At 36.7% G+C, this 13,984-nt stretch overlaps 1 protein-coding gene across 52 annotated transcripts in view; it reads left to right on the top strand.

Moving 5' to 3' along the window:
- Window positions 1-13,984, top strand: part of SGIP1 (SH3GL interacting endocytic adaptor 1) — a 217,779-nt gene that overhangs the window by 176,136 nt on the left and 27,659 nt on the right. For all 52 annotated transcript variants that reach the window (XR_007064415.1, NM_001376535.1, NM_001376549.1 and 49 more), the window contains one exon: window positions 9,798-9,909. Coding sequence is in view for 51 of the 52 variants with exons in the window: in NM_001376535.1 (NP_001363464.1) it covers window positions 9,798-9,909 (112 nt within the window). In the remaining variant the exon portion in view is untranslated. The remainder of the gene's footprint in view (window positions 1-9,797; window positions 9,910-13,984) is intronic.

The following is a 13,984-nucleotide window of genomic DNA, read 5'->3' on the forward strand; positions in this document are numbered from 1 at the left end:
GTAGTAATGCCTATCTGGACACATGGTTGTAGTCATAATTAAATGATGCATTATGTGTAAAGCATAAAAGACAGTACCTAGCTCATAGCAAGTACTCAATAATATTGTTCCTCCCCTTTTGAGGTTTGCCCTTTTTCCTCTGTATTCTCACTCAGCAGGTCAATTGGTGCTACTTACCTCAGGACAGGAGAAGCCAAGGCAGCACTTAACAGAAGCTTCTTGACTTTTTTAAGCTTCAGTTTGTCAGCTGTAAAATGGGGATAACAATACATCTTTCTTAAAAGTGTGAGGATTTAATAAGGGAATGCATGTGGAACACTTAGCACAGTCCCCAGAATTCAGAAAGTATATGTTCTTTTAGTTCTCATCGTAGCATTATTATTAATTAGATTAGGTGATAGTATAAGACTATCAAAACACTCAAGAAAACATTACATAGAGATACATTTTTATATGCAGCATGCACACACACAATTTACACACATATAAGATATATTTTATATAATATTTTATATAATCTAAGCCAACTACAATCATAATATTCCAAGATTTAGAGAAAAGGGAAAAAATTAAAAATTTATATGTAGTAACTTTATTTTGACTTCTTTTCTCCCAAACCTATTCTAAACATTTTTGAAAAGTTTTTGCTATCATAAAAAGTAACTTTATTAATCATCACTTCAGCTAAGATTCACAATGTCACAGGAGCACACTTACCTTTTCAAGTTAAGCTCTCATGATACAGTTCTTTCTACTGAACTATATAGAAAGAATTTCTACATTTCTTTTTATTATTTCCTCATTTACTAAATGCATCTGGTGCTGAGGAGAGCCTGAAACTGTATGTTACATGACACGACTGTAAGGCAAATTCTTCTTCACTGCTAATGATAATGGCTGCCAAGTTATCGAGTTTTTACTGTGTGTCAGGTACTGTAATTTACATAAACTAATGAAACTCTTTGTCCCAGTGTTCACTATTGGTCACCTTGCAGTTACTGGATTCTGAAGACAAGCAGAGACCACAGCAACATGAAAGTATTTACTTATAACCTTAGTCCTCATTCTGATACACTTTTTCCCAAATTAACACTAGTGTCCATCCCCACCCATTACATGAATGCAGAACCCAATAAATTTTCCCATAAACATCTGGTCATATAAACAATGGATATACCATGCAAATACAGTGCATATTTATTGCAAGTGAAATTGCCAGTCTTAGGAAGGATATAGGATTCCATGAAGTCAGTGAAACTGATGATGTAAAGCTTTTCATCACACCTAAAGTCATTGTCAGTTTAGAATTTAACAGAAATTAAAATTATTAATTACTAAAGAAGAGGGAAAAACATAAGCTTACATCAGAGCCACTTCAAAAGAAAGACAAGAAACTAAGAGACCCTCGGAATAATGTATAAAACTCTCAATTAATTCTGCAATAATGGCTCCATTTATGATCTTGAATCAAAGCCAAACCTAAATCTTGGGTGGTGTGTAAAGCTATTAACATAATTTTATCAGAAAAATATACCCTTCCCAAAAATATCAACACAAACTATTTTTATTCATTCCAAGAACTCAATTATTAATGTAGCTTAAACTTTGTTAATAAAATATCCTTTCACAACTTTAGTTTATGACAGCTTAGAATCTTAATCAAACCCTTCTATCATTATGTACTATGAAATTTTAGTATCCATTTAAAGTACCTTAATTGTTAAATGATTTCTCTGTTATTGACTATCCTCAAATAACAAGAACATAGAACATCCTATATCATCATATTTAATCCTCCCAATGTCTGTAAAAGGTACTATCTTCATTATACAACATGATGAAGCTGAAACTCAGAGAGGTCAGATAATTTTTCAGGGTCACAGGGTAAGGGTAAAACCCAGATTCAAAATTAATTCAATCTCTTTCCAACATTCTTTCCCTTTGTCACTGCATTATGTATAACATATTCTATAAATTACTGTAGAATTGGGTCTCATTTATCTTTTCCTAATTCTAACTAATATAATCAGCTTTTAAAGAAAAAGCTAGTCTAATTTTCACTCTTTGCTGCTTCATACATCTTCTGGAGCGTCGTCTGTCTTCTATGCACTCTGAGACTTTCTGATGTCTCCATCTGTTGGTTATATCCCTGCATTGTCATCCCTGGGCATAAGGGTCATTTGCCTCCTGCCTGCAGCAGATCTGGTAGGGTGGGCAGTTGTTTGGCCTGATAGCCTGCAAAATGGGGACAGTCTTTAAACAAATCAGACCACTCTCTCCTGCTGCCCATGCTTCAGATTGTGTTTTCAGGGTGACTGTTTCCAACCTCAGATGAAGAGAAGGTAAAATATGCAGTTCTTATGGCATCTGGCATTAGTGGTGCAGATCCTTCCTTGGATAAGATTGAGAGCACTGGTATTATTGTCCTAATTTAGCAGAGGTGAAGCTAGAATCATTGACCAGCTCAGGTCAAATATTGAAGAAGCACAGTCAAGACTGAAGCCTACACCCTCTGACACCCTCCTAGACTCCTTATTGCAGATTTTTGTTATCTGAATTTAAGCAGGTTACTTAAGCACTCTAGCTTTCCCCATCTGTAAGAAAGAGACGTTTAAAATAGCACTTACTTGGTGAGATGGTGGTGCAAATTAAGGGAGATAACACATGTGAATCATTGCACAGAATTTGAACACATTACATAATAGATACTACCATTTATTGTTAATTTTGTGACAAATGCCACAACACCCCTGAGGGAGCCACTAGTTTGACATAAATTCACATTAAATGTAAAAACCACTGAAAATACGTTGTCTTCATGAGCTGGCTTTGATGACAGAAAGTGCTAAACTTCAACATTGCAAAGTGGAAGAGATTATACGGAAAATGGAGAAAGTGCACAGGAAGGGGAGACTGGCCTGCCCGAACGCAGGCTTGCTCACTGCACATGATTGGCGGAAGTGCATAGGAGGCAACCTGATTAAACTCAGGAGGTAAACACTCCTTTATTTATAAAGGAAACCTTCTTATACTTGTATTCAATTTCTGTACCTGTGCATTTTGCTTTTTTTCTCTTTCCTCTTTTTTTTCTAATTTTTTCTTTCTCTTCTAAAAAGTCTCTTTCTCTTCTTTAAACACTTACATATACAGTCTGTTCTCCTTCCCCACGTTCATTTTTCATTTGTCTTCCCATGAAATGCTTTCATAAATTAAGGACCTCATCTTTTAAAGATGTCAGATGTCATACTTCTGTTAAGAATTTAAATTATTTTTAGTCTCAGGCTGTCTACATGTGTACATCTGTGTGACCTTGCTTGGTAATGAGAGTCACAGAAAACCGCCTTTCAGAAAACACACAGTCACACACTGGTGACTCTCTGTGCCCTCTTCCATTCCTCAGAACCCCCTCAAAGTGTGCATGTCAATTGCTTCCCAGTACTCTGGAGATGCTTTTTTGTCGGAGGTCCACAGACTAATGGCAGCAACTCATCCTTCTAGGGGGTATCACAAACACGTTATCAGGTTCCTAAGATAACTCTCTCCTGACTTCTATGCTCCTTGAGCAAGGTAGGGAGGAGGGTGGCATCCAGAGTCAGTCAGTGCTTGGTTTGCATCACAGTTCTGTTTTGATTGTTTACTTGCCAGGTGACAATGGCAAGGCTATTGAATTTCTTGAAACCTCCATTTTCTCATCTGTAAAACAAGGGCAAGAATGCTACTTACCTTATAGCACTCATAAACTTACCTTATTACCAGGATTAATAATTAATATAAGTAAAGTCCTTTGAATAGTGGTTGGTATGCAGTAAGAGATAGAAATTTTCATTGCTACTACAATTACCATTAAGAGAGCCAGAAAATCTAGGATTGAATTTCAGCTTCACCACTTACCAGCAGAGTTACTTTGGGCTAGAGATAATGATACCTAACCTGTGTACACTCCAGTGTACAAAGAACATAAAGCCATATTAGTGTTTGATTTTTGTTGTTATTGAAGGACAGACATAAAATCCATGTCAATAAATACTGCCTCCATTGAATTCTTTGTAAATTATTATTAACAGCAATAATATAACAATTACAATATTAAACTGTTCTCTAACTTCATGTAGTGTTTCATTTGTAGTTAATATTATAATCCCCTTTTATACAATAAACTCCATAGGGGGAAGGATATGCCTCATACATTTCTCTGTATCCCTCGGCACCTAGCACAATGTCTAATTATTACAGGAACTCATATTTTAATAAATTAATTATGATTATTCAAATAATTTGTTTATTTGAATAAAATAAACATGCATTCAACCAACTTTATCTCCTATTGACACAAGTATTATCAAGCCACCAAAATCAATATAATAGCCACCTATGTGATATGTGAAAAATTAGGCACACATGCGCAGATTATATGATAGAATTTTAGTGATGGAAGGAAGCTGAAAGAATTCTACGCTAACTCCATGCTCAGTGAAGAATTCTATTTGTTTTGTATCTCCCTTTGTTTCTGCCTAAAAACCTACTCAACTTCAAAGAACCAACTCTAATTCAACAACCTCAGTAAAGCTCACCCTGACAAAAATGACAGCAACAAAAACAATAATATTAGTCATATGTTTTCAAGTACATACCATGTTAAGTACTTCACAAATGCTATCCTACTTGATGTTCACCATGCGCCTTTAACATTGATACTATCTTTATACCATTTTAAGATGAGGAAACTGATTACAGAGAGATTTAAATACATTGTCCCTTGACATACAGATGGTAAGCCAAAGAGCCAGGATTCACACCCAAGTCTATATGACTCTAGAGTCCAGGTTTCCTTTATTAAATCAACTAATAGCATCTGCTTTACCACTCATTTGGTAATTAATCTTTCAGTGAAATAATCCCATAATGATGTCACTTGAACTATTGTCTTACCTAACCTCTTGTTGGCATACATTATTGTTATTTAGTTTTCCATATGTCTTTTTTCCTGAAAGACTACATATTTGTGCCCTCACCATCTTGTACATGGTAGTGTCTCAGTAAATATGACAGAGCCACCCAAATCTCCAGTGAGGTTATGCTGTTTTCAGGGCAGTTTATTTTTCTGTTAGAAAGTTGTTCTTACTGTAAAAATTCTAAATGCCTATAGACAACTTAAAATCATAGAATCTTAAAACACAGACATTATGCAGTCTATTGCCTTCATTTCATGATTGAGAGAACCTTAACACCTAAGGTTAAGAGATTTCCCCAAGGCCACAGAGCTCTTAACTTGCAGATCTATAGCCTTGAACTCTGGTCTCCAGAGTCGCTGTCTGTTAATATTATTTCAGTTATTAGAAAAAAGTTTCCAGGCCCCTCTTAGTCTTCTTAGGCCATAAGGCTTGAATTTCTCATTATCTTGGACACTTTTCTGGTTTTAGCCCTGTTTTCCAATAATGCTACTAAACAAAAACTCTCTGAGGTGCTATGGGGGATGAAAGCATTCATTTATTACTCATATCATTTTTATTGAGTATAATCTTTATGCAAAATACCTGGTATTCTTGTCAATTAAACATTGATCTGCATTTTGATTTGGTCATTCTACTTTGTAGGAATAAATTACATCTTAAGGAAATTAAAAAAGGAACACAATACCAGTTTAAACAAAGATGGATTTAGATTGCTATCTAGAAGTGGTTCAACATTTGGATAATGTTTGTAGAATAACAAATAGTTGTGGAAAATGATATGTAGACCAAATAGCAATAAGGAATATTGTAAGTGGGAAAAAGTAAAACACAAAATGGCATATCAATTGCAATGTATAGGGATGTGAAGAAATTAGGGTTGTAAATTTTGGATCCTTAAAGATAAGAAGGTTCTTTAAATGTTTGTTGTTTTCTGTGTTTCTGCTTCCCTGGCATCATTGGTCAGTTCTACAATAAGGACTATAGTGCCCAGAAGTTAACATAGCTAGAGGATATGTTGTTGTTGGGGGGGCGTGGGGGAGGTGGGTAAGGAGAAATGGGTCTTGATCATGCCACAGATGGCCTTGTGTATCATTACACTGAACAGTGTGGTCTCTGACTTGTGGTTGTGTGTTCCAATTGCCATCTGCGAGCTTTAAAACAAAGCACACAAGCAAACAAAAAGCACTACGACCATCATTTCTAGTGATGTGTCTTACTCATCCTTTGATATAGCCCAAGCTAGGCAAGATGTTTAGAACTCAACAATAGAAAATTGATGATCAACTAAAACCTCCAGGTGCTTTTTTTCACATATTCTTCTACCAAGCAAGTTTTCACCAAATCACAATTGTTTCATTAATTTTAAACCTTGATATATAAGAACTTTACACTTGTTTCTGCTGATATTTTTCTTATAAGTTCCAGTTCAGTACCTCAAAAATATAAGAAAATTTTTAGCACTTTTAATGAATCTGCCATGATGATCATCATAAAAGTAGCTAATCATTACTGAGTGCTTACTATGGTTCAAGCGCGGTGCTAAATGCTTTGCCTCATTTTATCCTCAGAACAGGCCTACAAAATGGGTATCATGACATCATCCCTGCCAAAGATCATTTAGATAACAAGTGTCAGAGACAGGACTCAATCCCAGGTATGTCTGATGCTAAATCCCATGCTCTTAGCCACTACCATGTGCCATTTCTGAGCACTTTATTCAGTTTCATCCAAGCCACCAAAGAGCCCAGACTAGGGACCAATCTCTGAGATAATCCACTAGAGAGTTCCTTCGCAATGGATGTATAGCTACTGATTCATGCTCATTGGATATTGTGATTTATCTAATTGTCAATTCACTTGGCAAGACTATGATCCACACAAATTTTACTATTTTATTCACAAGACTATCATAGAAGACTATTAAATGCTTTGCAGAATTAAAAAATATTATGATGATGACATTCCCTTTATATACCAATATCTGCTTTTCTCATCATTTTTATCTTTTTTCCTAAGAAATCTCCTCACCTACATTATTGTCTCCTTCATTAAATGATGCACCACACTTTGAGCCTTGGTTCTATCAAACTGTAAAATGAAGACAATACTTACTTCATACATTTACATAGCTAGCATGCTCTAAACTCAAGTCCATTGTTTCAAATACTTCAGAGGCCTCCCATCTTCCGTTCAGGGTGTTCTAACCCCAGTTCCAGGACCCCAAGAACCTCAGGAAATTTATGATTCTACTTTAAATAATAAAAATGATGTATATATGTGTGCTTTGCTCTGAAAAGTATTCTTAGATTTGTATTAGATTATCAAAAAGGAATTATGATTTTAATGACTATAAAGACAAATTTTCCTAAATATTTATATAAAACTCTTCATGACCTAATTGCTAACTCCCCAAGCCTCATTTGCTTCCACATGTCACCCTTCAATACCCACCACACTCACATACACACACAAATACCACACTTCCCGTGGTTTCTTAAAATGTGTCTGCTCAGTTCCACACGTACATAGAAGGTGGACCTCCTTCCTTCTACACTTAGTAAGATTATCTTCATCCTCAGACCTCAGCTCCAATATCTTCTTAATGAAACTTTCCCTGACCTATACAAGCATCATTAAGTGCTTTCATAGAGCTTTGCTCATTCTTTGAAAGAATTTATCAAATCACTGTATTTGAATGTAGATTTATCTATCCTCCTCACCAAACACCAAGTTTCAATCACATAGTGGCAATGACCCTGATAGAGTGGCAACAGTCCAGCCCTCTTACCACTGTGGCCTCAACAGTTAGAGAAGCCATTCTTCTCCAGAAGCTGGTAGTTGCTCAATAAACATTTGAATTAATGAGTGATGAAATAAACTGAACAACACCATTACAAAATAATGGCCTGTGTTTATTGTGCCTTTACGGTTTATAAATGTGCATAAACCTTACTTTTCTGAGACCCAACCATGGATAATTCAACATGTATTTAGTGAAAGGCCAATATCATCCAGGCTGGGTTTTAGGTACTGTCAAGGTCTCATTACAGAAGCTAATGCCATTGTTCCTTCCTTTTAAAATTTAGAGCTCCGTGGGCAGAGAAGACTTAGCCATGCACACTCCAACTTCAGACTCACCCAGTGGCACTGTAATTGCCCACTTGGTACTATAATTGCCTACTAAGAAGGCAAAATAATAACGTCCTCAGAGTCTAAGCTTTGAACTCATACATACCCCAGTGCCAATCTTAAACTTTATGCATACCAGCTGTGCAGGACTGAACAAGTTGTATAAAGTCTTTGAGCCTTGGTTCCATCAAACTGTAAAATGAAGACAACATTCACTTCATACATTTACATAGGCAATATATGTAAAACACTTAGTAAGTGTGCAACAAATAATGTTAATGGAGGTCATTAAGATTAGTGAATGTTGATAATGCTGATGATCGGAATGCTGCTGCTGATGGTAACTCATTGAGGACAACGACCATGTGTTTTTGAATCCCCAGCACCTACCATAATACCTGATACATAGTAGATATTAGATATTAGATAACTGTTTGTTAAATTAATTGTCAATTGCCAAGTCCAAGATATTGAAAGCCAAGAGGAGATAAAAAAGAGACTAGCATGAACTAGAGTGATCAAGGGAAGCTTTATTGAGGAGGGAGGTGTACAAATGGTAGATTATGTTCAGACTTGGAGAAGAGGACAAAAGTTATTGAAGGCAAAAGAAAACAAGCCTAACACTAAAGTAAGTAGTCTATGCTGGGAGTGGGGTAGAGTAAATGCATTTTGTTTGGCAGGAAGGGGAAGCAGTGAGTATTACCAAAACTTCACTGTTCAATACCATGCCTAGAGATCAATAACAAAAAAAAAATCTTAAATGTTGATACTTTTCAGAAGCTACGGGTTACAGCAAAATGATACAGGAAACTGTTTCATTTAGTACACTGCATGGGTATAGTGGGAAAAACATGAGTTTTATAGGGAGATAAACCTAGGTTTGAATTTTTGTTTTGCCATTTAACTAACTATATTATCTTGGGCAAGTCACTTACATGGAGCTTCTGTTTCCTCTTCTATAAAATGGGAATAATCATACCTATCCCACAGGGCTGATGTGGAATTTGAATGAGATTATTCATGTAAGGCACCCATGTTCATACAGACATGCCTTGCCCATGTCTGCATGAACACCTGTATATAGCAGGTGTTCAACAGACATGAGAGCTGCTGTTATTTTTAATAGTGTGAATTAGTGCATTTATGTGTTGTGGTAAGTCGATGTGTATAGTTTGGTTGTCTATGTTTTTGGACATGTAAACTTGAGCTTACTTGATCTGAGAGTAACTGGGCTTTTTGAAATGGAAATAATCCAGAAAAAAAAAGTGGGTAATGTGATACCACTTGGCTGCTATTCAAAATGAAGAAATGAAAAATGTTTTGAGTATGGGCAATTGATTGGAATGAATGCTCAAATAGGAAACTAATAACTGTCTTTATTAACCACCTGCTGTACAAACTGTCATGCAAATACTGCCTTATGTTTTATGAGAAACATTTGAAAACCCCTGTGACTTTGTTCTGCTTGGATTTTCTTCTCTGTAGCAAAATACATAATTGAATTAATTTCAAGTGTGTTTGTCTGTAAACCAGCCAAATATTTCCTTTTAAATACTTGAGCTCTATGTTGAATATACAGAGTTACGGTTCTTAGCACATTTTGTTTTACATTAAGGGGTAGATTTTATTCCTTAATCCTTTAATGGGCTTTTAATTTCACATATACTAAAGTGTCTCCTATTTTCATAATAAATGAAAATTTTTCATTTCATGCAGGTTCTTCCAGGGGACCCAGCCCCCTAACCATGGGAGCTCAGGACACTCTCCCTGTTGCAGCAGCATTTACAGAAACAGTCAATGCCTATTTCAAAGGAGCAGACCCAAGCAAGTAAGCCTGATACTTGGTCCATTGTACTTTCTGAGTTCTGTCCTATTGAGTGTGGAACAGCCTAAATACAACCTTTTCATTTTTTCTTTTAAAAAGCAAAAAATAATTCAGTTAGCAATAGTAGATGGCACAGCTAGGAGAGAGGTGAAAATGTCATTAGGAATATTGATTTCATGCTTTTAAAAAATGTATCAAGAGAATTTACTCTAGAAATCTTTGATTCCATTTTGGTTCTAGAGAACTTACTCTAGAAATCTAGAAATCTTTGATTCCGCTTTGGTTGCAAGTAACAGAAAACTCTAACCCAGTCTGTCAACAATGAGGAAATTTATTGTCTCACAAAAGTAAATGTGCAGATCATGTCTTTTATTGTCTTAATCTTTCCTGGACAGGAATCACCCACATATAAATTAAAACAACGGTTCACTGGGATGAGAACATGAAAGAAAAAACACCTTCTCAAAACACACGAAGTAGCAAGGGAACAAATTTTCTGTGACCCCTACTAAATAAGGAAAAACTGGCCAAAAATGAAAGAGAAAGAAAAAATTATAACAGAGCAAAGTAAAAATTCTAGGGAAAATTCACCACTTTCTATTTACATGAGCCTGATTTCACTTATACATGTACATACTGACAATGGACTTGGTCTGAATGCATATGTGATGTAATTAAATATTTGGCCTCTTGCTAAGGAATTCCATGGATAGGATTCAGAAAATCAATGGTTTCCCTGAAATTATATTGTGTATTTTATGTGTGTGCATGTGTGCATTATTCTATAAAAAGAGTCTATAATAACATTTATCACTTAACAAAGAGATTTGTAATCCAAAAAAAGATTAAAAGTGATTAGTGATCTACACCAAAAACTAAACAACTAAGTCAGACTTATTTTCAATAGTGTCATTAATATAATTCCAGGCCTGAATTTGATCAATAAAGGGGAAACCTAAGTGAGGAAAGAATTGCTTTTAATTTTTTTACTTACAAAGACTAGGGCTTTGAAAAACTTAATATTTATGACAATAAGAACTGGAGACTAGGCATGGTGGCTCACACCTGTAATTCCAGCACTTTGGGAGGCCAAGACAGGAGGATTGCTGAGGCCAGGAGATCGAGACCACCCCTGGCAACATAGGGAGAGCCTGCCTCTGCAAAAAATACAAAAATTGGCTGAGCGGGTGGTGCACACCTGCAGTCCCAGCTACTTAGGAAGTTGAGGTGGGAGGGTTGCTTGAACCTGGGAAGCAGAAGCAGCAGTGAGCCATGATCACACCACTGCACTCCAGCCTGGGTGACAGAGCAAGACCCTGTTTCAGAAAAATAAATACAATTTTAAAAACTGGAGAAGAAAAAGTCGATGTGTATATAGAACACTAGACTATACTATAAAAATTTTTTGAAACAGTGATAATTAAATATAATTAGAACTTGGATCTCCATATATATTTTAAGTGGAAATTGGTATAACTAATCATGAATCCTCTCGACACTTCAGAAACACTAGTTTTAGACGTAAAACTCGAAATCTAACAATATTATACTGGAAAACTAATACAATTAGTAACTCCACCTTTAAGTGTACTAGCCAGCCACTAGGATCTTTCAACTTCATGTCTCTTTAAACAACATCTAGGTTTCATTCTATGCCCAGAATATTATAGAGAAACAAGCACTGTGGACCCTGGATTTTCCACGTCTTTTCTCTTTCATCTTCAAAACAGAAAGGCCATTTGCCACATCCCCATATCAATAGAAATCACAAGCTACCTCCTATAGAGCATACGTCTGAACTGTTAAGGCAAGTAGACATCATGAGCGTTAGCTGTAGATATGCTTTATTCATACGTATTTGTTCTGTAGAATCTTCTTTGGACAAAGAATTTGCATAATTTTCTGTTATTCCAGTTCTAAGAAAATTTATCACTGACTACTGACCTTATACCTTAGAAAATCACGTTGGCCTGAATTGAGAAAAGCAGACAGAAACATCCTTCTATGTTTTTATTTTATTTTTTGAGATGGGGTCTCACTTTTTTGCCCAGGCTGAAGCACAATGGCACAATCACAGCTCACTGCAGCCTCAACCTCCCAGTCTCAGGCAATTCTCCCACTTCAGCCTCCCGAGTAGCTGGGACTACAGGCACATGCCACCACACCCGGCTAATTTTTGTATTTTTTTTAGCGACGGGGTTTTTTCATATTGCCCAGGCTGGTCTTGAACTCCTGGGCTCAAATGATCTGCCCACCTTGGCCTCCCAAAGAGCTAGGATTACAGGCGTGAGCCACTGTGCCTGGCCAGAATTGCCCTTTTGAAAAATAAGAGTAGTCAGGAGTGAATGTATATACCTGAGTGAAAACCGCTGGGGATCACACAAGAATGAATTCATCTTTGTCTGCTTCCTAATTGGCTTTCATTCATTCATCCACTAATTTATTCAGAGAGATCTAATTGGTCTCCCTTCTTCCGCTTTTGCACCCCTACAAAGTCTCAACATATCATGTCACTCTTCTGCTCAAAATCCTCCCATCTTGTTCAAAGTAAAAACAAAATGCTTCATAATACTCTTACAAGACCCTCCATGATCTGCCCTTCGAGACTCCCCCAGCCTCACCCCGTGGCCGTGTCTCTGATCCCATCTCCATCACTCCTTTCCTTATCCCTGACCGTGCCTCCAACCCTCACCTCCATATTCACTCCACTCTAGCCACATGGCCTCATGGCGTCTCTCTTCCATCACCCCAACCCACCTGCACCTCATGGGTTTTCATTTGCTTCACTTTCTGCCTTCGTGAAATCTTCTCCTAGGTTCTGAGTGACTTGTCCCCTCATTCCCTTCATGATTCTTCAGTAAATTTATCAAAGAGACCTTCTTTGTCCATCCTATATAAAATAACAACACCGCTCCCCACCCCGTCAACATTTTCTTCCTCTTTACCTCATGTTCTCTGTCTCCATAGCCCTTCTCTCTAACATCTTTTATGTTGTTGTTGTCCATTATTTGTCTTCTCCCCCACTAGAATGTAAATACCATGAGAGCTGGATTTTGCCTGTTTGGTTCACTGTTGTGTCCTCAGCTAAACAGGACAAGGCATATTTGCTGAACAAGTTGAATTGAATTACTCACCTAATATTTACAAAATGGCTACTATGTACCTGCCATTGTGCTAGACAGGAGATATATTGGCGATAAAGACAGCTCATATGGAAAATAGGACTTGTGCATAAATATAATACCAAGTGCACCAGAGAACAGGTGTAAATATGGTGCAGTGGGAGTTAAGAAGCCGTTATTAACGTATTTTTTAATTCCAATAAGTGGTACAGCAGCCTGTCCCATCGGCCTGTCACAATATAAGCCAGGGTTTTCATCCTGGTTCAGTTTCCCAATACACTATGACAGGCGTGTAGGGTAGTCTGCACCTGTAAGCTTGATGTCTGCGGCCTTGGCATTCCAATGACATGGCACTTGAGCCAAATTAATATTAGTGTTTTTCCTATACCCTTCTAAATTAACTGAGTCTTTGACTTGTGGATGTATATGGAATCTGTTTTTAATTTTATTGCCATAAATAGTTGTAGGATATCCTCTATGCTGGTAGGTGGGAGATCCAATTTATTTCATTAAAATTTTGAAATCAGAAACTTATAAATGAATCATGAAATGACACTCATATATTTAATTTCATCTTCAGCAACCATTTTAATTGCTCTTCCTTTATCACTCACTTTCAAGGAAACAACTCAAGTTCTATCACCAGGTGGAAATAATGCCAGCCAAGGTACCAAACAGAGAAATGATGCAGCAAAGGCATTTGGATTTGATTTTGTCTATAGTTCCCTGTCATCCTGCATCAAAGCCATTTGTTCTCAGACCATCCATTGGGAACAGAAATCTACTATCTTAATTTTTATATACTATGATATGTAACCCATTTAAATATAGTTATACTGTAAATATTCGGAGCACCCATAACAGGTATTCTGACATGTAAGACTTTCTCAGTAGCTCACAGGCAGCAAATTCCTTACCTTTGCTACTGATTGGGGAAACACATCTCCCGCTATTAG

Source organism: Homo sapiens, chromosome 1, assembly GCF_000001405.40.
Source record: "Homo sapiens chromosome 1, GRCh38.p14 Primary Assembly".
NCBI lineage: Eukaryota > Metazoa > Chordata > Mammalia > Primates > Hominidae > Homo > Homo sapiens.